This window comes from Homo sapiens, chromosome 2 (assembly GCF_000001405.40).
Source record: "Homo sapiens chromosome 2, GRCh38.p14 Primary Assembly".
Taxonomy (NCBI): domain Eukaryota; kingdom Metazoa; phylum Chordata; class Mammalia; order Primates; family Hominidae; genus Homo; species Homo sapiens.
This window is the reverse complement of record NC_000002.12, coordinates 158,917,345-158,941,806: the sequence shown is the minus strand read 5'-3', so window position 1 is coordinate 158,941,806 and position 24,462 is coordinate 158,917,345. Positions and strand designations below refer to the sequence as shown.

Below are 24,462 nucleotides of genomic sequence, written 5' to 3'. Positions count from 1 at the left end.
TCCTGTTAATGGTGATATTTTGACTTCCTCCCATGAACCACAAATGTTCTTAATGGGGAATCCTTTCCAGAAGGTTTCCAATTTTTTCCCCCAGATATATCAGAGGAATCACTATCTATGGCAGCTATGGCCTCACAAAATATATTTCCTAAATGTTAAAACATGAAAGGTAAACTGACTCTTTGATCCATGGAATACAGAATGGATGTTGTGTTAGTGCACATGTAAACAATATTAATCTCCTTGTACATCTCCCTTAGAGCTCTTGGGTGACAAGGTGAATTGTCAATAAGCAGTAATATTTTGAAAGAAATCCTTTCTTGTAAGCAGTAGGTCTCAATAGAAGGCTTAAAACATTTGTGACACCCCACCGGGTGCAGTGGCTCACACGTAATCCCAGCACTTTGGGAGGCCAAGGCGGGTGGATCACCTGAGGTCTGGAGTTTGAGACCAGCCTGGTCGATATGGTGAAACCCTGCCTCTACTAAAAATAGCAAAATTAGCTGGGCCTGGTGGCACATGCCTGTAATTCCAGCTACTTGGGAGGCTGAGGCAGGAGGATCACTTGAACCTGGGAGGCAGAGGTTGCAGTGAGCCGAGATCGTGCCATTGCACTCCAGTCTGGGTGACAAGAGCAAAACTGCGTCTCAAAAAAAAAAAAAGTGGTAATCATGCTATAAATAGATGTGCTGTCACCAAGGCTTTGTATTTCCATTTATAGAGCACAGGCAGAATATATGAAGCGTAATTCTTAAGGGCCCTAGGATTTTCAGAATGGTAAATAAGCATTTGCTTTGGTTTAAAGTCACCAGCTGCATTGGCCCCCGCAAAAGGGGTCAGCATGTCCTTTGAAGCTTTGAACCGAAGCATTGACTTCTTTTCTCTAGCTATGAAAGATCTAGAGGGCACCTTCTTCCAGTATAAGCCTGTTTCATCTACACTGAGAATGTGTTGTTTAGTGTAGGCACCCTCATCGATGATCTTGCTAGATCTTCTGGATAACTTGCTGCAGCTTCTATATCAGCACTTGCTGTTTCACGTTGCATTTTTATATTATGGAGATGGCTTTCTTTAAACCTCATGAGCCAACTTCTGCTAGCTTTGAATTTTTCTTCTGCAGCTTTTTCACCATTCTTAGCCTTCATAAAATTGAAGTGAGTTAGGGCCTTGCTCTGGATTAGGCTTTGACTCAAGAGAATATTTTGACTGGTTTGATCAGTCCAGATCACTCAAACTTGCTCCATCTCAGCAATGTTTGTTTTGCTTTCTTATCATCCATGTGCTTAATGAAGTAGCACTTTTCATTTCCTTCAAGAACTTTTCCTTTCTATACATAACTTGGCTGTTTGGCACAAGAGGTCTAGCTTTTGGCCTATCTTGGCTTTTTTTTTTTTTTTTTCTTGAGATGCAGTCTCGCTCTTTCACCAGGCTGGAGTGCAGTGGCGCAATCTTGGTTCACTGCAACCTCCGCCTCCCGGGTTCAAGCGATTCTCCTGCCTCAGCCTCCCGAGTAGCTGGGACTACAGGTATGTGCCACCACACCCAGCTAATTTTTGTATTTTTAGTAGAGACAGGGTTTCACCATGTTGGCCAGGATGGTCTCAATCTCTTGACCTCGTGATCTGCCCACCTCAGCCTCCCAAAGTGCTGGGATTCTATCTTGGCTTTTGACATGCCTTCCACACTAAGCTTAATTGTTGCTAGCTTTTAATTTAAGGTGAGAGACATGTGACTCTTTCTTTCACTTGAACACTTAGAAGTCAGTGTAGAGTTATTAATTGGCCTAATTTCAACATTTTTGTGTTTCAGAGAATGGGGAGGCCCAACAAGAGGGAGAAAGATAGGAGATTGGTTGTTGAAGAAGTCAGAACACACACATTTTATGGATTAAGTTAATCATCCTCTATGGATGCGGTTTATGGTGCACCAAAACAATTACATGGTAACATCAAAGATCGCTGATCACAGATCACCAAAACAGATATAATAATAATGAAAAAGTGTGAAATATTGTGAGAATTACCAAAATGTAACACATAGACACGAGTGAGCACATGCTGTTGGAAAAATGGTGCCAGTAGGCTTGCTTGATGCCAGGGTTGCAGCAAATCTTCAATTTGTAAAAAATGCAGTATCTGTGAAGTCCAGTAAAGTGAAATGCGGTAAAATGAGGTATGCGTGTATTGCTTATTTGGAGACTTTATAAAGATGGAAGCATATAGTATAAATATACAGTTGACCTTCCATATCTGCTGGTTCTGCATCCACTAATACAGCCAACCATAGATCAAAAACATATTTAAAAACCCAATATGACAATAACAATACAAATTTAAAAATATGGTATAGCATAGCATTTACATTGTATTAGGTATTATAAGTAATGTAGAGAGACTTTAAATTATACAGGAGGATGTGTGTAGGTTATATGCAAACACTACACCAGTTTATAGAAGAGACTTGAGCATCTGCGGATTTTGGTATCTGCGAGGGCCTGAAACCAATCTCCCACGGATACTGAGGGATGACTCCACACCGGTTTACCTGTCTATGCCACTGGTGATGGACATTTGGTTTGTTGCCAGTCTGGGGCTATTATTACCAAGCTGCTATGAACATTCTTGTACATGACTCCTGGCATGAGTGTATATGCATTTCTTTAGCGTAAATATATGGCTAGGAGTAGAAATATTGGGTGATAAAGCTGGGCATGATGACATGTACCTGTATTCCCAGCTCTTCAGGAAGCTTGCTGGAGCCAGGAGTTTGACAGCAGCCTGGGCACCATAGGAGACCTGTCTCAAAAGGAAAAAAAAAAAACGGAAACGTTGGGTGACAGAGTACGTAAATCCTCACCTTGACTACAGAATATTTTCCAAGTGGGTTCTCCATGTACATCCTCACTAGCAATTTAGAAGAGTTCTCCCTGTTCCACATCCAAAAAATGATTCTTCATTTTGAGATAATATCCTTCTGTATGAAAAATACTTTTATAAAAAATAAAAAATAATGATGGTTAACAGGTTGCTCTTTTTACATGCCAAAATAAAGATCTACTAGTTCCATTTAGGAACTTCTAAGCTTTTCCTCTGAAATTCTATTGGATCATGACATCTCAAATGCTGTAAACCATTGTTGCACAGAACATACACAGTGTAGATTTTTTTTTTTTTTTTTTCTTGAGACGGAGTCTCACTCTTGTTGCCGAGGCTGGAGTACAGTGGCGCCATCTCAGCTCACTGCAACCTCCACCTCCTGGCTTCAAGCAATTCTCCTGCCTCAGCCTCCTGAGTAGCTGGGATTACAGGCACGTGCCACCACGGCTGGCTAATTTTTGTATTTTTAGTAGAGACGGGGTTTCATGTTGGTCAGGCTGGTCTCGAACTCCTGATCTCATGATCCACCCACCTCGGCCTCCCAAAGTGCTGGGATTACAGGCATGAGCCACCGTGCCTGGCTCTTTTTTGTTTTTTAACATCAAAAACCACTTAATGTATATAGTAGTCAGCCTCCAAGATGGTCTGCAGTGCACCTCCTTTCTTGGTATTCATGCCTTTGTGCAGACTATTCCCACATATTAGGTAAGGGCTGGTTTTGCAAACAATAGAAGTGTCAGTGAATGAGTTCCCCAAACTAGGTCATAAAAGACATTGCTGCTTCAACATTGGAGCAATTGCTTCAACATTTGGATCAATCACTCTGCAGGGAGTCAGCCACCATGTGAGGATGCTCAAGCAGCGAGATGAGTAGGCCCATATGGAAGAGAACCAATTTACCAACGCCAACTTGTGAATGAAGTGAATGAGCCCCTTGAACACAGAGCCTTCAGCCTCAGTCAAGCCTCCAGATGATTTCAGTCCCCCAGTCCTTGAGTTTTCCAGCTGAGATCACAGAAATCATAAAGCAGAAACAAGCCATGCCCTTCTGCCCTGTCTGAATTCCTGATTCACAGAAACCATGAGATAATATATGATTATTTTTGATTTTAGCCCCCAGGTTTGGGGATAATTTGTTACACAGCAAGATATAACTGATACAACTCACATGACCATCAAGGAAGGTCAAAAATTGGCCAAAAATTTGGATTTTTGAATGACTTCACACAGCAATATAAAGATCTAGTACTTCTATTTAGGCCTTAATTTTTTTTCTGAGTCCAATTATGCCTCTAGATTTAATTACAAGTTTAGAAGAACTAGAAGTGACATGGAGATATGTTAAACAAACACACTGCAGAGAATATAGGAAATTCTAAAGCACAAATTACTCATTTTCTTCAATCAATAAACTGAAAAAACAAGATGAGGAGGGGAACCTGTAAATTAAAAGAGGCGTAAGAATAGGTTGTATTCTTCCCAATAACAGATGCTGTCTCCTATAGGGAAAATTACACTTCCCGTCTCTCTGCTGACATCAGCTTTGACCATGCGGTTTGCTTTGACCAGTGAAATGTGAGCAAATGTGATGGTTGATTGCTACTTCTGAGCAGAAACTTTAAAAGACATTGTGTGTTTCAGCCATTCCTCATTTCCATCTGCCAGGAACTGGGCATATCCCAAACACAGATTGTTTCTTTAGCTTGTAGCCAGGAGTGAAGAGGATGCAGGGCTGACTCACAGTGGAAACTCACGTGAGCAGGAAATAAATCTGGGTTGTTGTAAGCCACTCCAATTTTGAAGTTGTCTGCTAAACATAACAGCATAACATAATGTACTCTGACTCATATAAGTAATGTTTCAAATACAATATGTAAACCTTGTTAGGATCTTGACTTATGGGACAATTGAAGAAATTTGAGTACGTACTAGATATTTTTGATGATAATTAAGAAATTGCTATTAATTTTTTAGGTGTGTGGATGGTATTGCAGTTAGGTTTAAAAGAACAAAAAGAGGCCGCTCATGCCTGTAATCCCAGTACTTTGGAGGCCGAGGCAAGAGGATTGTTTGAGTCCAGGAGTTCGAGTACAGCCTGGACAACATAATGAGACCCCATCTCTATTTAAAAAATAGAGAACAAAAAGAATTCCTATATTTTGGATACATGTTTCAGAGGAAAGGGAGAGTAGGTGAGGGAATATTTGAAACAAGGTTGGCCATGAGTGGACAACTGTTGAGCCGTGTGGTAGATACATGTCAATTTATCATACTATTCTCCCTACTTTTGTAGATGTTCAGAAATTTCCATAATAAAAACTTTTATTTTTTTTTAGACAGAGTCTCGCTGTGTCGCCTAGGCTTGAGTGCAGTGGCACTATCTCGGCTCACTGCAACCTCTGCCTCCCGGATTCAAGTGATTCTCCTGCCTCAGCCTCCTGAGTAGCTGGGATTACAGGCGTCTGCCACCACGCCCGACTAATTTTTGTATTTTTAGTAGAGATGGGGTTTCGCCATGTTGGCCAGGCTGGTCTTGAACTCCTAACCTCAAATGATCCACCCACCTCGGCCTCCCAAAGTGCTGCGATTACAGGTATGAGCCACCATGTGCAGCCCATAATAAAAAGTTTAAAAGAAAGGGTTTGTTGACATGATTCCCAGAGTTGTCCCTTGACTCCCAAAGGGGTTCAGAAAATATGGGAGCTGGAAGGATTGAGCTGACCACTTAGGTTTATGAGTGTGAATACACAAAATAGATGTTTGGGTCAGGCCTCAGGAATAAGATACTGAGACTGATTATGTTCAGTGAGAAAGATGTTTCCTTGGGAGCATTACATCAGGTCAGAGCAGTATCAGGGAAAGTTTGAGAGCACTGGAGAGCTGTAGGGAGCTGAGGTGTCAGCCTCCACCTCAACTGAGAAATAGGAGAGGTGTGGCGTAAGTAGACGCATTATCCGCCTATTGGCTAAAAACAAATGTAGTATCTGTTCCTATCAGTTAAAGCATCAAATGTGGTCTCTAAGTTCAGGGAATTAAATTAATATTTGGAATTGGGAGATGGTTTGGGAGCTTGCTCTATCCTCTCCATGCCTCAGCATGTAATTGCAATGCTTTCAGGAGTGGTGCATTCCTTTTGAGTTAATGACAGATTGTTTTCTTTTGTTCCCCTAGTGTTCTACAAAGTGCTCTAATTCACTGTTAATGAGGCTCCAGACTGCATTTCCACCATTTGTGCTGCAAAAAATAGAGTTTCCCATAAGTGAAGTTGACAAAGCAGTGGGCTTGAGCTATCTTGCCAGTACCACATCCAAGAGAGTGTTGGACAAGAAGATCACTTGAGTGAGGGGCAGCCTGGGGTGAGGGGGAGAACAGGCTGAGCTAGAAATCCCACGTCAAGGGACTGTGTGCCGGGACATGTGTCCCCAGGGAGCAACAACATGGGCAGCTACAGAGGGGGAAGAAGTTCTCTTGGAGTTACAGAGGCAGCAGCAACCTCGGTGACAGCACCCAGTGCCCACCCCCTCCATCCCTTATCTAGAGGAGTCAAGTAAAATGACCGTGCCTCTCATTCTGTCTTCCAAACCTAGGGTGGTCCTCTCTGAGAAAGGAGGAGAAGATGGGTATGCAAGAGCAGATATAGCTCCCATCCTTGCCCTTGCTGGACTGGCAGGTACTGGGACAGTGGGGCAGGAGAACAGAGAACTTGAAATTCCCTGCTTTTGACATTTTGTTTTTGTGATTGAATTTCAAAATGAATGGGATGCCATGTGTGGTGGCTCACGCCTGTAATCCTAGCACTTTGGGAGGCCAAGGTGGGTGGAAGACCTCAGCTCAGGGGTTTGAGACCAGCCTGGGCAACATGGTGAAACCCTGTCACTATTAAAATACAAAAAATTAGCTAGGTGTTGTGGTGCATGCCTGTAATCCCAGCTACTCGGGAGGCTGAGGCATGAGAATTGCTTGAACAGGGAGGCAGAGGTTACAGTGAGTCGAGATAGTGCCACTGCACACCAGCCTGGGGGATAGAGTAAGACTGTCTCAAAAAAAAAAAATAATAATGAAACAGAGCATTTAGAAATGGGACTGGGAAGTTATGGAATTGAATGGAGACATCATTAAGACATCAAGAGAGCCTAATGCCCAGAGTAAAGCAGGGATTCCACAAGAATAAGCTGAGAGCAGTCAAATAGTTTCATGCTTACACCCCAATGAGTTGTTGCTCCTCAATGATTATAGGGTTTCTTCACTTCCCCTATCAATACAACAAAAAACAAAAACAAAACCTTTGGTTAAGATCCACTTCAAAGTAGACAAAGCCTTTCTTTGGCAATTGCCCTCTGAATCTTTCTTCCCTTCTGCCTTCTCTCCCTCATCCTGCAATAAATCCATGCCCTCCTGCTACCCTCCTTGCAATTAACAAGAGCCAAACTTATGTACCATCAAGGACACTAAAAATAAGTATCTATATTTTCTTCTAATATTTTGCCTACTGTGACCTACTTTCAGTTAAATTTCAAAAGCAAACGAGTGAGATGTGTCCTAAATAAACATGCCTATGAACTCTGCTGTGGTGTTGGCTGCATAGTTTTTGTACCATAACCAAATACTTGTTTTCTATACAGAGCAAAAATTTAAAAGATTTCCTGTGTTGATATGTTGATATTTAAATTATAAAATTCCACTTGCTTCATCAAAAATCTATTTCTTTGAGGACCGTTTCCCACTGATAATTCTGGTATTAAAGAGCTCTAGTTAGTGCTACCTCTGATGTGCCCAAGTCACATGTAGAATCACTTCCAATCTGCCCACACATCTGAAAATACATTTTCCAGCAATTATAATATCAAGAGCTGTGAAGCTTCCTTGCAAACACAGCATTGTATCAGCCGATGTTATTTTAATCATTCACTTTTAATGAGACACCTATGAATATCTTTAAAAATCAGAGTCAAAGGCAGGCTGTCACCTAAAAAAAAAGTCAAGTTGTGGTTTGAGGGTTTTACCGACATTAGACAATTATTGTAATAATTTAAATACTTCAGCTTAAACAGCAAGATATATGTTTGTGCTTTCAAAGTGAGTTCTAATATTCACCCTAGCAGTTGCTAATTAACATTTGAAGTAGTCTGATGGGGAATAACCCTCCAGGGGGTGGTTTGTTAGCATTTAAGGGCCCTAATCAGCACCTTGGACTTGGAATCTATAGCTACTATAGCTCCTTCAACTATTCCTTTCTGAATCTACACTAGTGAATTTATTGTTTAGCATAAGAGATGTTAGAAATAACTTCTTAGGCTGGGCGTGGTGGCTCATGCCTGTAATCCCAGCACTTTGGGAGGCCGAGGCAGGAGGATCACTTGAGGCCAGGTGTTTGAGACCAGCCTGGGCAACGTAGTGGAACCCCATCTCTACAAAAAATAGAAAAAGTTAGTCCAGTGTGGTAGTGTGTCCCTGTGGTCCCAGCTACTCAGTTTTGGGTGAGCCCAGAATGGTACTCCAGGCTTAGGTGTTTGTTTAGTATTGTGCCTGCCACTGAAGGCAGCACCCAGTAGTTTGATCCACTGGATTCTGCTCTGGGGCATTGTGGCGTCTGGTTCAAGTGAATACTTCATGGAAGACTATGGCCAGAGAGTCTGGAGCTCACCAAGCTTATGAGGCTGATTTGCCTGACTCAGGCTTGTTTGCTGATAGGCCCAAGACTCACTTTCATGGACCTCATCACCCAGTGACCCTGTGCAGGGGCAGAAGATCCAAGCTCCCGTGACTCAAAGGGGTGAAGGCCCCAGCAAGGCACTAACAACAGTGTACCACCAAACTGATTTGAACAAGTTAACAACATTTAACTATCCGCAAGTAGTTACCATGAGATGTATTTAATAATAATTTTTAAAAGAGGGCCAAATAGGAAAAAAAAATCTACATGTGATGGTCAAACTTCAAGGAAGATTTATAGAAAAACATGTGGCTTTGTCTATATAATTATAATAATAGAATTATATGGGGCTTACTATGTGCCAGTAACTATTCTAAGCCATACCTTAGTAAAGACATACTATTATCTTAGTATTATTATTATTTTGGAGGCAGAGTTTTCTGTGTTGCCCAGGCTGGCCTTGAACTCCAGGGCTCAAGTGATCCTTCTGTCTCAGCTTCTTGTATTCAGAAACCAAGGGACTACAGGTATGCACCACTGTGCCCAGCTCATCACATTATTATTCCCATCTTACTGATGAGGAAACTGAAGCACAAAATGTGACTTGTCCTAGGTTCTACAGATCAGGTAAGTGGGGGAGCAATGATTTGAATTCAGGCAGTCTGACTCTGGAATCCAGGCTTGTACCTGATTTAGATACCGTAGTTTCCTTTCTGAAGAATAACAGTTGGTATGTGACTAGAAGCCACAATAGGAATTTATAGGGTTAAAGAAAACTGGACTTGCTATAAAAGCCCAGGGGAAAACTAAGGAATTCTGAGGTTTTCCTTGACTTCAGGAAAGGCTCTTACCAACAAGAGATTTTTTTTCTCTCAAGCATCATTTCAGCAGCAGACTTCTGTGATGAATTAAAAATAAAGATCTGTCGCTTGGTTGATGATGTGTATAACAGTTTTCCTAGACGCAACAAAACTGTGGAATTTTAGAAGGCTTTGAAGAAAAAGGCAGACAACTTGCCTCTCTCTTTTCCGTATTTGACTTCCTTTCTTTTTATATCTCCCTATAATATCTTATACCAGAACAACCATTCACACATGAAGTTACTGATCTAAGTCACAGCAAAACATTCATGTTTTTCTATGTTCCTTTCAGCCTCTCAGTGAGGGCAAAAGTTGGGATAATCTGATTACTAGCATGGTTATTTAGTGGACTCTTCACCAGCAGCTGTAAACCTGATCTTGCATCTTTCCTTTGCAAGTTCCTCTCTGGCCATGGCTCTTAGAGGGGACATAAACCGCCAGCCACAACCATCATTCTATGGATTTTTTTAAAAACCCATTTACTCACCTTAATTTCTGCAACAGAATTTTATCCACATATTAAATAAGTGAGTGTTTGGAGGTCCACTCAGGGCCCCTTCCCATTTTCCTGTCACTAAGGCAACGTGGTACTCATCAGCAGCAGCCCTGTCTCCCCAACTAGCTCCGTGTATATTCAGGATCCTGGTGAATGACTCATTCAACCACATTACACAGAGCTATAGAAAACTGACCCTGAGCATAGCAGACTAACAATGGTTTTGGGGGCTGCCAGATTCCAAAACTTTTAGAGGTTCTAAGATATTTAGGGTTCTTGTAACTGTTACTTAGAAAGTTGTCAAGTATTTTTTAAAAAAATCCCCAGTGTTTGCATGTACCAGATTGTTTTTATGTAAAAGTATAATAGTTAAATAATGTATTCATCAAATTTGAATTGAGTATTAGGAATTAATCCCAATGCAAGAAATTTAAGAGGAAAAAGATATAGACCCTGCTGATCTGTTGGGCTGTTTTGGTTGCAGGTGATAGTAACTTAAAATAGCTTAAAAAAAAAAAGGAAATGTATTGACTCATGTAACTGAAAAGTCTGGGTGTAAATTTCAGGCATCACTGGATCAAGAGGACTCAAATGATCTCATTAGGACTCCTTTTTCTGTTTTCATCTCTGCTCATCTTTGCCTGTTTGTGTGCTGGCCTCATTTTCTCTTACCAAAGATAGCTTCCTCCACTATAACCTGAATGAATGGCTATAAGAAGCTCCAGCTTAGATCATTTTTGGAGCTCAAAGAAGTACAGGAATAGAGATCATCTCTCAATAAGAATCCACTTATCAAAAATCTAGAAAGATATTGATTGGCTCTACTTGATCACATGCCCATCTGACTGACCAATCTGGTTAGGGAAATGAAGTCCTCAGATTGGCCACACTTTGATTACCTGCTTCTCCTTTGGATGAGGAGGGTTTACTAGCAGTTGTACAACATGAAATATGTTTTCCACACAGGGAAAGGAGCAAACGATGGACAAAAAGAACAGATATTCACTGTGGTAGTCAGCCCCCAAGATGGCCCCAAATGATCTCCACCTCTTCATACAGTCATGTGTCACTTAACAACGGGGATACATTCTGATAAATGTGTCCATAGATGATTTTGTCATTGTGTGAATGTCATAGAATATACTTACACAAAGCTAGATGGTATTGCTCACTACACACCAAGGCTATATGGTATAACCTATTGCTCCTAGGCTACGAATCTGTACAGCATGCTACTGTATTGTAGGCAATTGTAACATAATGGTGAATGTTTATGTATCTAAACATATCAAAACATAGAAAAGGTACAGTAAAACTATGGTATTTTGATCTTATGGGATTACCATCTTATTTTTGGCCCGTTGCTAACAGAAATATTGTTATGCGGTACATGACCATATTTACACATTCTTCCATAATCTTCTCCTACATGGAATCACGGCTGGCCTGCATGACCAATAGAATATGCAGAAGTGGTGGTGTGTGACCTTCACGGCTAGGTCATAAAACACATTGACGCTTTCACTGTGCTCTGTCTTATATTACTGGCTCTGAAGGAAGTCAGCCACCATGTTGTGAGGATACCCAAGCAGCCCTGTGAAGCGATCCATGTGAAGAGTGTATTAGTCCATTTGCCTTGCTATAAAGGAGTACCCAAGACTCGATAATTTATGAGGAAAAGAGGTTTATTTTGGCTCATAGTTCTGCAGACTGTATAGGAAGTGTGGTGCTAGCATTTGCTTCTGGAGAGGGCCTCAGGAAACTTATAATCATGGCAAAAGGCCTAGGAGCCAGTGTGTCACATGGCGAGAGAGGGACCAAGAGAGAAGGAGGTGCTAGGCTCCTTTTTAAACAAGCAGATCTCACATGAGCTCATTACTGTGGGGAGGGCACCAAGTCATTCATGAAGGATCCACACCTGGGAGCCTCCCACCAGGCTCCACCTCCAGCATTGGGAATCACATTTCAACATGAGATTTAGAGGCCACAATCATCCACACTGTATCAAAAAGGAACTGAGAACTTCTGCTAACCTCTTGTACCAGCTTGCTAGAAATTTGAGTGAGCCATCTTGAAAGTGGATTTTCCAGCCCTAGGCAAACCTTCAGATGACTGCAACCCTGGCCTACATGTTGGCTGCAACTTCATAAGAGGCTTAGGCCCTAAAACACCCAACTAAGCTGCTTCTGAGTTCTTGAACCACAGCAGCTGTGAGTTAATAAACGTTTATTGTTGTTTAAGCCAGCAGGTTTTGGGGGGTAATTTGTTACTCAGGAATAGATAATGAATATAGTCACTACATTTGCTTTCAAGTAGCTCATGGCCCAGTCTGCAGACATAGACATTTAAATGACTAATTCTAATTTGTGGGTGGGGTAGGAAGATAGAGGGGGGTAGAAGAGAGCCTCTGTGAAGGTTTTATGGAGGAGACCACCTCTGAGCTGGACTTTAAGGATGAGCAGGAGGAGGAAGGGAAATCTAGACCAAAGGAACATCATATACTGAAGCCTGAAAGTGAATCACATTCAGGTAAATGCAAATGGAAGAGTGTGGTTGTAGTTAAGGCACCAGTCTATCAGAATCACATAGAGGGCCTAAAAAGTACAGATACTCAGACCCTACCCCTCAGAAATCTGATGATTAGGAAACACTGGTTAGGATTTCCTAGTTTCTTGGGTTTTGGTTGGTTAGTTAGCTGGTTACTGGGAAGGGTGTGTCTGCAGCAGGTTTCTCAGTAGGACTCTGGACCACATGCTACAGAAAGCAGGAAATGTAGGCTCCCTGGAAATCCAGGGGCCCATGACTCACCTGTTCATACACATTTACACTCTGTAAGCCCCTGGAGACTTGGACACCATCAAATTTTGTGGGTGCAGTGAAATCAATGCTTAGAGAGAAATTTATAGCATTGAATGTATATATTAGAAAAGGAGAAAGCTCTAAAATCAATAATCTAAGCTTCCACCTTAGGAAACTAGTAAAAGAAGAGCAAATTAAATTTTAAGTAAGCAGAAAAAATAAACCATAAAAACTAGAGCAAAAACCAATGAATTAAAAATAAGTCAGTAGTGAAAATCAACAGAACCAAAAGCAATGGATAAACTTCTACCCAAGCTAACTAAGAAAAAGAGAGAGAAGATATAAATTACTAATATCGAAAATGAAAGAGGGACATCACTACAGATCCCATAGACATTAAAAAGATAATAAAAAATATTATGAACAACGGTATGCCCACAAAATTGATAATCTAGATGAAACAGACCAATTCCCTGAAATATACAATCTGCCAAAATGCACACAAGAGGAAATAGGCCATCTGAATAGGTCTATATCTATTAAAGAAATTGAATCAATAATTAATAACCTTTCAAAACCAGGACTTGATGGGTTCACTGGTGGATTCTACCAAACATTTAAGGAAGAAATTATACCAGTTATTCACAATCTGTTCCAGAAAATAGATGCAGAGGGAATAGTTTCTAACTCATTCTATGAGGCGGCATCACCCTAATACCAAAACCAGACAAATATGTTACAATAAAAGAAATCTACAGACCAATACTTCTCATAAACATACATGCAAAAATCCTCAACAAAATATTAGCAAGTCAAATTCAACAATGTATAAAAGGAATTATACACTATAACCAAGTGGGATTTATCCCAGGTATGTAAAGTTTGTTCAACATTTGAAAATAAATTAATATTGCCTATTACATCAATGGCTAAAGAAGAAAAGGATCACATGATCTTATCAATAGATGTGGAGAAGCATTTGGCAAAAACCCAACACCCATTTATAATAAAAACTCTCAGCATACTAAGAATAGAGAGGAACATTCTCGACTTAATAAATAACATCTACAAAAAACCTGAAACTAATATATTTAATGGTGAGAAACTTGATGCTTTCCCACTAAGATCAGGAACAAGACAAGGATGTCCCTTCTAACCACTGCTTTTTAATGGAAGTCCTAGCTAATTCAGTGAGACAAGAAAAGGCAGTAAAAGAAATATAGATTAGAAAAGAGTAAATAAGGCCGGGCGCGGTGGCTCATGCCTATAATCCCAGCACTTTGAGAGGCCAAGGCGGGCAGATCACCTGAGGTCAGGAGTTCCAGACCAGCCTGACCAACATGGAGAAACTCCATGTCTACAAAAAATACAAAATTAGCTGGGTGTGGGGGTGCATGCCTGTAATGCCAGCTACTCGGGAGGCTGAGACAGGAGAATCACTTGAAACCGGGAGGTGGAGGTTTCGGTGAGCCAAGATCACACCATTGCACTCCAGCCTGGGCAACAAGAGCGAAACTCCATCTCAAAAAAAAAAAAAAAAAAAAAAAAAGAAAGAAAGAAAGAAAAGAAAAGAATAAATAAAACTGTCTTTGTTTGCAGATGACATAATTGTCTGTGTAGAAAATCCAGAAGAATTGACAACAATAACAACAAAACCTCCTGGAACTAGTAAGCAATTATAGCAAGGTTACAGGATACAGGATACGAGGTATCCTGTATACAGCAAGGTTAATATGCAAAAGCTAACCACTTTCCTATATATCAAAATGATACTGTGGAACTAAAATATATTACCATTTACATTAGCACCCCCCAAAATGAAATATTTAGGTATAAATCTAATAAAATATGAGCAAGATCTATATAAGAAAAACTATAAAATTCTACTGAAAGATATCAAAGAATAAGTAAATAGAATAACTAAATAAATGGAGCGATATTCCATGATCATCTTAGTCTTAACTTAGTAAGATTATTCATGATCATGCAATTAAGAATTAAGGTTGATTAAATATTTTCAGGATGTCAGTTCTTCTCAACTTCATAGATTCAATACAATTCCAATAAAAATCACAGCAAGTTATTTTGTGGATATTGACAAATTAATTCTAAAGTTTACATAGAGAGGCAAAACAAAACAAAACAAAACAAAACAAAACACGAAACCAGAATAGCAAACGTAATATTAAAAGAGAAGAACAGGCTGGGTACGGTGGTTCATGCCTGTAATCTCAACACTTTGGGAGACCGAGGGTGGTGAGTCACCTGAGGTCAGAAGTTTAAAACCAGCCTGGTCAACAGAGTGAAACCTCATCTCACACTTGATCTTAGCCAAAAGGCCGAGAAGCGATGTGAAACCTCATCTCTAATAAAAATACAAAAATTAGCCGGGCGTGGCGGCACATGCCTGTAATCCCAGACACTTAGGAGGCTGAGGCAGGAGAATTCCTTGAATCTGGGAGGCAGAAGTTGCAGTGAGGTGAGAGCATGCCACTGCACTATAGCCTGTGTAACAATAGTGAAACTCCATCTCAAAAAAAAAAAAAAAAAAGAAGAAGAAAAAGAACAAAGTCAGAGAACTGACATTCCCTAACTTCAAGACTTACTATAAAGCTACAGTAATTAAGATAGTGCAGTACTGATGAAAGAATAGATAAAGAGATCAATGGAACAGAATAGAAAGCCCAGAAATAGATCCACATAAAAATAGTCAGCTGATCTTTGACAAAAGAGCAAAGACAACATAATGGAGCAAAGATAATCTTTTCTTTTTTTTGAGACAGAGTCTCGCTCTGTCATCCAGGCTGGAGTACAGTGAAGCAATCTTGGCTCACTGCAAGCTCCGCTTCCCGGGTTCACGTCATTCTCCTGCCTCAGCCTCCCGAGTAGCTGGGACTACAGGTGCCCGCCACCACGCCTGGCTAATTTTTTTTGTAATTTTTTTAGTATAGATGGGGTTTCACCATGTTAATCAGGATGGTCTGGATCTCCTGACCTCGTGATCCACCTGCCTTGGCCTCCCAAAGTGCTGGGATTACAGGCGTGAACCACTGCACCCAGCCTCAAAGATAATCTTTTCAACAAATGGTACTGGAATGACTGGACATCCACAAGCAAAATAAAATAAAATAAAATAATAATAATCTAGATGTACACCTTACACCTTCACAAAAATTAACTCAAAATGGATCATGGATGTAGATATAAAGTTCAAAACTATAAAACTCCTAGAAAATAACTTAGGAAGAAAACTAGATGACCTTGAATATAGTGGTGACTTTTTAGGTAAAACACCAAAGGCACAATCCACAAAAGAAATAATTTTTAAGCTGGACTTCATCAAAATGAAAAACTTTTTTTTTTTGCTCTGCAAAAGACAATGTCAAGAGAAAAGAAAAGACAAACCACAGATTTGGAGAAAATATTTGCAAAGGACACATCTGATAAGGGACTATTATCCAAAATATACAAAGAATTCTTAAAACTAAACCAGAAGAAAATGAATAACTTGATTAAAAAATGGACAAAAGATCCGTTATGGTTAGAGTGCAGTTTGTCCCCACCAAAACTCATGTTGAGGCTTAGACCTCAATGGGATGGTGTTGGGAGATGGCGAATTTAAGAGGTAATTAGGTTGTTAAGATAGATTAATGTCTTTCTTGAGAGACTGTTAGTTCTCCCAGGAATGGATTAGTTCCTTGCAGAGCTGGTTGGTATAGGGAGGTTGCCTCTTGTATTTTGCCCTTTGTCACATTAGCCTAGCTCCTCTTTCATTTCTCTGCCATGTTTCGATGCAGCCTGAGGCTTCACCAGAAGCCACCAGATGTGACCACCCAATTTTGAACTTCCCAGCCTGCAGACCAGTGAGCTAAATAAACCTCTTTTCTTTGTAAATTACCCAGTCTTAAGTATTCTGTTATAGCAACACAAAACAAAATAAGACAAGATCTGAACAGACATATCACCAAAGAACATATACAGATGGTAAGTAAGCATGTGAAAAGACGTTCAACATACATCATTAGAAAATTGCAAATTAAAACACCAGTGAGATACCACTATACACCTATTAGAATAGCCAAAATTCAGAACACTGACAATGCCAGATGCTGGTGCTGATGTGGAACAACAAGAATTCTCATTCATTGCTGGTAGGATTTCAAAATGGTACAGCCACTTTGGAAGACAGTTTGGCAGTTTTTTAAACAATTAAAATATTTGATACTTGTCCAGATAAATTGAAAACTTATATCTACAGAAAAACCCAGGCCAGGTGTGGTGGCTTACACCTGTAATTCCAACACTTTTGAAGGCTGAGGTGAGGGGATTGCTTGAGCTCAGGAAATTCAAGACCTACCTGGGGATATTGTGAGAACCTTTCTCTACAAAAAATAAAAAATTTAGCTGGACATGGTGGCATGTGTCTGTAGCCCCCAGCTACTCAGGAGGCTGAGGTGGGAAGGTCACTTGAGCTTGGGGAGTTCGAGGCTGCAATGTGCTAATGTAGGTTCATGAATTGTAACAAATGCATCACTTGTGGGGGATGTTCATATTTGGGGAGGTTGTGCTTGTGTGGGAACAAGGGGTATATGAAAACTCTCTATTCTTCCTGCTTAACTTTGCTGTGAAACTAAAACTGCTCTAAAAAATAAAGTTTATTAATTAAAAAAAAAAAGAGAGTGGAAATTCCAGTTTAACATCCATATTCTTAAACCTACATTTGAGAAGGTATTTTCTTGCCTTTACTAATTACAAGTTGAAACGAAGGAAGAGAGCACCCTCCTCTCTTTTGGGGTGCACCTACAATGTAGGGACTGTCCTTGGAGTAGTAGTCATTTCATTTCTATTGATAAGCTCTCTGGGAGCAGTCAGATGATAAGTGGAGAATGGCATATGGAAGGCTTCTGATGCAAATGGCCTTTCATGTTCCTGGGCTACCATATAGCTACAGGGAGCTCTGCACTTGCCAGAGCAGATCACAGAAAAGAAATGCAAAGAAGGGAGGAGGGAGGAAGGGGCATAATAGTTTAGTCTAACTGTAACCAAACTTTATAAAAATTAAATTCCAGAAAAGAGAGAGATTATCAGGCAATTACTTGCTTTATAGAAATATTTCAATATTTTATAAAAACATTTAAAATATTTTTAAGAGGTAATACACCCGAATATATGGAATAATAAAAGCCAATAGCACACACTATGTTCATTGTTCTGCTTTCCATGTAGTTGACTCATTTAATCCTCATTATAATCCTCATTTTACCACTGAGACAATTTAGGGTCACAAACACACAACCACTAAAGGGCAGCAGAGCTGTTTCCAAAGTCATGCTCTTAACTTGACCACTCCCTCAATAAGAAACAAAAAGAATGTTCTCCTCTCCTGAAGACACCATTTCCTGGAGATTCTTCCAGAAGATTGATAATTCAAGGAAACTTCTTTTGCAGATTCATTCAAGTGTGTTTTTCAATAAGCAGTTTGGAGAATGGATTCAAATGCTCCTTTCCATTCACACAGCTAGTTCTGAGCCACAAACTCTGAAGTCCCCCAGTCGCCTGCAGAGAGGCACTGCCTGTTACATCGCCACCTGTAAGTCCACAGACCCACAAACAAGGGGCTTCTGATTTACTAGGCTTCTCCCTGCTGGTCCACAGAGCAGTTAATCTTCTGCCCCCGGGCAGAGTTTGACAGCTCCCAAGGGTCCCATGAAGTGCTCTTTTCAAAGAGAAATTCTCAATCACATAAATTTGAAACAGACTTGGTCTGGATCCAGGTACAGATTCCCCACTCCCCCATAGCCCCAGGCAGTAGTTGGCTACACTTCACTTCCTGGGTTTTTTGAGTCCTCTGATGCAGACTAGTGTTTTCCTTCAATAAAACAGTGATTTAAAAACCTTCATTCTTCCTGTTTTGAGACTGTGCCAGGGCATAACATTCTGTCTTCACCAAGGAGTACACAAAAATCAGCTGGGGCTCTGTGGCCACCCCCATGGTAGATAATCAGATAAACACTCCATTAGACCTATCCATCTACTTTTGGAAGAATCTTTTACCTTCATCCAATTAGAACTATTTTTCATTCCTCTTATTTTTCCTCACTTGAAGTTTTATTTTGATTGTTCCTAAGTATTCATTTTCCCTCAGACATTCAGATTATTCCTTATTTTAGATTAGTGCCCACAGGCTCTCCTCACCTCTACTAGGGTGCCTTAATGGTTTTATGATGATGATAATGGCAAGGAAAGAGTTTCCTTCTCTTTCTGTAAACCCTAACTAAAAAGAAAAATATGCAAAGAATGTTTTCTACTTGTGGGGCAGTGGTGATAGCAGTAGGAGGCAGGCAAATCCTAGGCAGACAGGGATGAATCCCTAGTGAAACCTCACCTTCAAATCAAAGACAATTTAAAGCCTGAAAACCAAGCTACAAATCTTGGATAAATCTTGGAACCTCTCTTCCTGTTTGGTGCACTTTCCTCTGATTGATCCCTACCCTTCACTTATTTTTCGTATACCTACCCTTCCCTAATTGATTTTGTACACGGTCATGCCCATCTCTGAGTGGTGCCTTTTTTTAGGCTGTTTTGCATACTCACAAACCAATCAGCACACACTACCCAATTCAGAGTGCATAAAAGCCTCGGACTCAGCTGCACTTTGGGACTACATGACTTTGGGTGGGGGACTGCCCCTTTTGGGTCCCCTCTTCATAGAGAACTGTTCTGTGCTCAATAAAACTCTCCACCCGACTCACTCTTCAGTTGTCAGCATAACCTTGCTGGGTTATGCTGACATAATTCTTCTTGGGTGTAGGACAAGAACTTGGGACCTGCCTAACGCAGGTCCCAAGTAACCCTGTAACACTGTAGCCCTCTGCACTCTGCCAGTGCCAGGTGGCTGCCCCATGTGATGGGAAGCAGTGGTGGGGCCAGGCCAGCCCAGGGGGCATGGGCCGGAGCAGGGCAGAGGGACTGAAAGAGCTATTAGCATGCCCCCATCCACTCCAAGCTATGGACGGCGGGAATGACACCCCTTGGGGCTCTGTGTTTTTTTGGCATCTCCAAGTTTTCAAGTACCAACGCATCCCCCTTGTCTGGTCACTGGAACCCACTGAGGGAGTCACTTGTGACACACCTGGTTCAGACACATACCCCGTGCAGAGCCTGTGGGCTGCTTGGAGCAGCCCACCCACCATAGCAGCAGCCCGCCCGCTGCAGCAGCTGACACACCTGACTGTGTGCTGTGGCCAGGCCCTGTGCTTGCTTGCTCATGCACCCCCTCTCGCTGCAGGCTGAGTACGCAGTTGCAGTGGTCATGGGATCCTGGCCAGGGCACAAGCCAAGCACAGCCTGCGGGGCCAAGTAGGCAGGGTGCCTCCAGTGGTGAGTCTGAAGCCGAGTGAGGCCCTGGGCAAGGGTGTCACCAGCTGCAGAGGTCTCTGGCTGGCGAACTGGCACCAAAAAATCCTGCGTCATTTCTACAGGGAACATTTATGAGGGAAGAAGGTGTATAGTAAATTTCTAGCAGCCCTACAGTTTTTAGTAATAATTTCATTTGAAGTCCATTGCTGGTGTTCTCACTTCTAAGTCAGAGCTAAGCATTGGGTACACATTGGGTTTCCATAAAGACGGGAACAATAGACATGGGGGACTGCAATAGGGGAAGGAGAGGGAGTGGGGCAAGGACTGGAAAACTACCTATTGGGTACTATGCTTACTGCCTGGGTGATAGGACCATTGGTACCCGAAAGCTCAGTGCTACGCAATATACCCATGTAACAAACCTGCACATGTATACCCCATGAATCAAAATAAAAGTTGAAATTATATATACATATAAGTTGTAAATATTTATAATGCATAATATATAAAATATATAATCATATATATATGATAAGTCCATTGCTGGGCATCTCATCCTTCTGCACTCATTTTATCACTGACTGTATTGATATGGAAATCCTTAATGCTGTTTTGGTCATTTTTCCAGGCACGTAGTAGGTCTGTACTTCATTGTTCCTTTAGAGGTGAGACCATGTGATTTGCTTCGGCCAGTGGAATATGAGAAGTGATATGTGTCATATCTAGGTGAAAATTTCAAATCCTATGATTCCTCAGGTCTGCTTCCCAGTGCTGCAGTGGTTGTAGGAGTAAATGTTGAGATGGAGACTCCATGGTCTTCATCCTGGAGTAACAGTGACTAGAAGAGCTCCCTTGCAATCTGCAATGGACAGTGAAAAATTACTTTTGTTGTGTTAAGCTGCTGAGGTTTGGGAGATGTTTGTTACTATCTAGCCCTTCCTGGCTGATAAAATTCCAGAACAATCACAAATAAATATTGAAGAGCATCGATGGATGTTTGTCTCAGCCCATGAGTACAAAAATTAAAGTCTGCCTTTACATCTGATTGAGCAATCTCAGATGAAATATCAATTCAATTTATTCACTTAGCAAGTATCTACTGAGGAGCTTCTGTGTACAAAGCACTACATGAAGGGTAAAAAAATCTGTATTTGGCTGGGTGCAATGGGACTCATGCCTGTAATCTCAGCACTTTGGGAGGCCAAGGTGGGCGGATCACTTGAAGTCAGGAGTTTGAGACCAGCCTGGCCAACATGGTGAAACCCCGTCTCTACTAAAAATACAAAAATTAGCTGGGTGTAGTGGTGGGCACCTGTAATGCCAGCTACTTGGGAGTCTGAGGCAGGAGAATTGCTTGAACCCGGAAGGCAAAAGTTGCAATAAGCCGAGATTGCAGCACTGCACTCCAGCCTGGGTGACAGAGCAAGACTCCATCTCAAAAAAACAACAACAAAAAATAACAAAACAAAACAAAACAAACCCAAAACTGTATTTGATTGGTAGGACTATTTTGACTATTTTTTAAATAAAACACCAAAATTCCAGATAGTTCAAAACAGCCAAAATGACTAGGTATCTAAGATTCTGTACAGAGTGCTTTATTCCCAATTTTACATTGTCTGCGAGCATTTTTCAATTATAAAATTGTTAAAGGGGGCTGGGCACAGTGGCTCATGCCTATAATCCCATCACTTTGGGAGGCTGAGGTGGGCAGATCACCTGAGGTCAGGAGTTCGAGACCAGCCTGACCAATATGGTGAATTGCTTGAACCTGGGAGGCAGAGGCTGCAGTGAGCCGAGATCGTGCCACTGGAGTGCATCACTGCACTTCAGCCTGAGTGACAGAGCAAGAATCCGTCTCAAAAAAGAAAAACAAAATTGTTAAAGGATAGCTTTCAAAAAGAGGTAAAATCATGATTCTCTTGCAGCTATAAAATAAACACGTGTCAAAGATTTTACTCAATTCATTATTTAATGAATAAACTGTAGACATATTACAACTGATTCAAAGGAGAAGTCAAAAGCACCACAATTTTATATGGAGTAAGGGAATGTTAAAATGAATTTACAAAGGGAAACAAAACTGGCTTTTTTCACTAGAGTGGGGAGTTTGTGGGCTTTGGGAGGAGTAAAATGAAACCACCACACCACAATTCACTGCAGATTTTATTTGCATGACAATGGATAAGAATTATTTTGGATTGCTATCAATTACCTACAAATTACAGTCATAAAATAACTCAAAGTCAACAATTAGATAAACAGTGTGTTCTAGACATACAGTTTTTCACTGGAGATACCTAGTAATCTCTTTGCTTATTCTAAATTTATTTACAGAGTGAATCCTCTAAATAAAAAATAGAAACAAATAAATAAGACCATTTGCTCAGTGCTTTCTTAGTGCTGGGCAATGTGCTAAGTAAGGCCTTTACATACATTATCATTAGATGGATGGCATTGTTACTATTTTACAGATAAGAAAACAGATTGACTTGCCTAATATTCCAATATTTAAATACAAGTCTGACTGATTCCAAAGCTTTTAATGTCTTAAAAATAAGATAATGACAAAATTTTCTAAAAATTTAACATACAGTAAACTTGACATTTTTATTCCGTGAATTTTAATGCATGTGTAGATTTTTCTAACCACAATCACAATCTGGATATAGAACTATTCCATCACCCAACAACTCTCCTTGTGTGGATCCTTTGTTGTGTTATGGAGCCAGGCCCGTTTTGCCTGCCACACAGTATGCCAATCACTGAGACAATGAGCTTTGCAGCAAAGAAGGGATTTAGTCACATGGCAGCTAAGTGAGAAGATGAGAGAACAGGTCTCAAATTCATCTCCCCAAAGATGGGGTTTAGAGATATTTATGGGATAGGGGAGCAGGGTGGTCTGAGGTACAAGGAAAGGTGAGTGGGGGTAAGGAAAAGTGAGGTAATTGGTGTTCTGTGCAAGCATAGCTAAGCTTCATGGCTCTTTGTGGGACACATGTTCCAAAAATGGTAGCTTTAGCATGATCAGTGGGTGAAGCTCATGGCCTCTGACATCAAAAGATCACCCATCAGACATTTGCTCAGGCCCAAAGGGTCAGTGTGGTCTTACCCAGTTTGGACTGGTTGAGAGCTGTCTTTAAGTTCCTGAAAAACAACTTAGGCAGCTGTTTTACCATTGTGACCTGTATGTCAGAGATGTTATCTATAGGATGGCTGATGGGAGTTTCTTTTTAAAAAAAACCAGCTAAAAGCAAGCAAAGCAGGTTAAAATTTGACAAGCCTAGATAGGTTTCCCTCAGCTTCAGTAGTCATACATTCTCCCATCCCTGGCAAATGTTGCTATATTTTGGTGTTTTCAAGAATATCAAATACATGAAATCACACAGCATATAAATTTTAACAAAAACTTATTACTTAGAAATAATTATAGATTCACAGAAAGTTGCAGAAATAATACAGAGAGATTCTGGTACTCTTCACCAGTTACCCCCAATGATGACATGTGACATAACTATAATACATAACAAAACCAGGATTCAAATACCTCATTCAGATTTCTTCAGATTTATATGCACTCATTTGTGGGGGTGTGTGTGGTTCTATACAACTGTTATTTTTATTTTTTTATTTTTTGAGACAGGGTCTCACTCTGTTGCCCGGGCTGGAGTGCAGTGGCAGGATTACCGCTCACGGAAGCCTCAACCCCTGGGGCTTAAGTGATCCTCCCACCTCAGCCTCCTGAGTACCTGGGAACACAAGCATACGCCACCATACCCAGCTAATATTTATTTATTTATTGAGGGACAGGGTCTCCCTATGTTGCCCAGGCTGTTCTCGAACTGCTGGGCTCGAGTGATCATCCTGTCTCTACCTCCTAAAGTGCTGGGATTACAGGCATGAACCACCATGCCCAGCCAGTTCTATACAATTTTATCATGTGTGAATTCATGTAATCACCACGACAAGATACAGGCTGTTCTATCACTGCAAAACTCCTTGTGCTACCCTTTTATAGTCACATCTTGTGAAGTTAAATTTTTTGGAAGCCTTTCTTTATGTGTTTTACCACCCCCTAAAAAAAAAAAAAAAAAACTACTCTAATGTAATTAAACAGAATCAGACCATTGCTTTTTTGGTACTGTAATATTTATTTTATTTTTTTCCTGGGATGATTATATGTAGGAAGTTCAATAAAAGAAAAATTATGCTTTTGGCTACATTATTATTTAATTTCAGGATTATTACTGAGGATAATTTTGTCACACATAAAGGGGTGTGTTAAAAAATGATCTATCCCAGGTGTCAGATGAGCTATGTAGACCACTATTTGGAAACCAGATGCTTGGACTTCACCAGACATCAAAGAGTGAACAGTAGCCCACCGCTTAAGATGAGTTCAAACTCTCTTACAGCTGT

General features: G+C 40.7%; 1 pseudogene, besides 2 other annotated features; it reads left to right on the top strand.

Moving 5' to 3' along the window:
* RNU2-21P (RNA, U2 small nuclear 21, pseudogene) lies at positions 5,822 to 6,009 on the top strand (annotated as a pseudogene).
* Positions 12,631 to 12,800: an enhancer, noted in NCBI's record as "experimental_53495 CRE fragment used in MPRA reporter constructs". NCBI's record gives its function as "activates a minimal promoter by MPRAs in K562 erythroleukemia cells, with activity observed for both the introgressed and non-introgressed 2:159785604 variant alleles {active_cell/tissue: K562}" and the evidence as "EXISTENCE:reporter gene assay evidence [ECO:0000049][PMID:34662402]".
* Positions 17,978 to 19,002: an enhancer, noted in NCBI's record as "VISTA enhancer hs1477". NCBI's record gives its function as "enhancer in: limb[3/6]" and the evidence as "EXISTENCE:transgenic organism evidence [ECO:0001131][PMID:17130149]".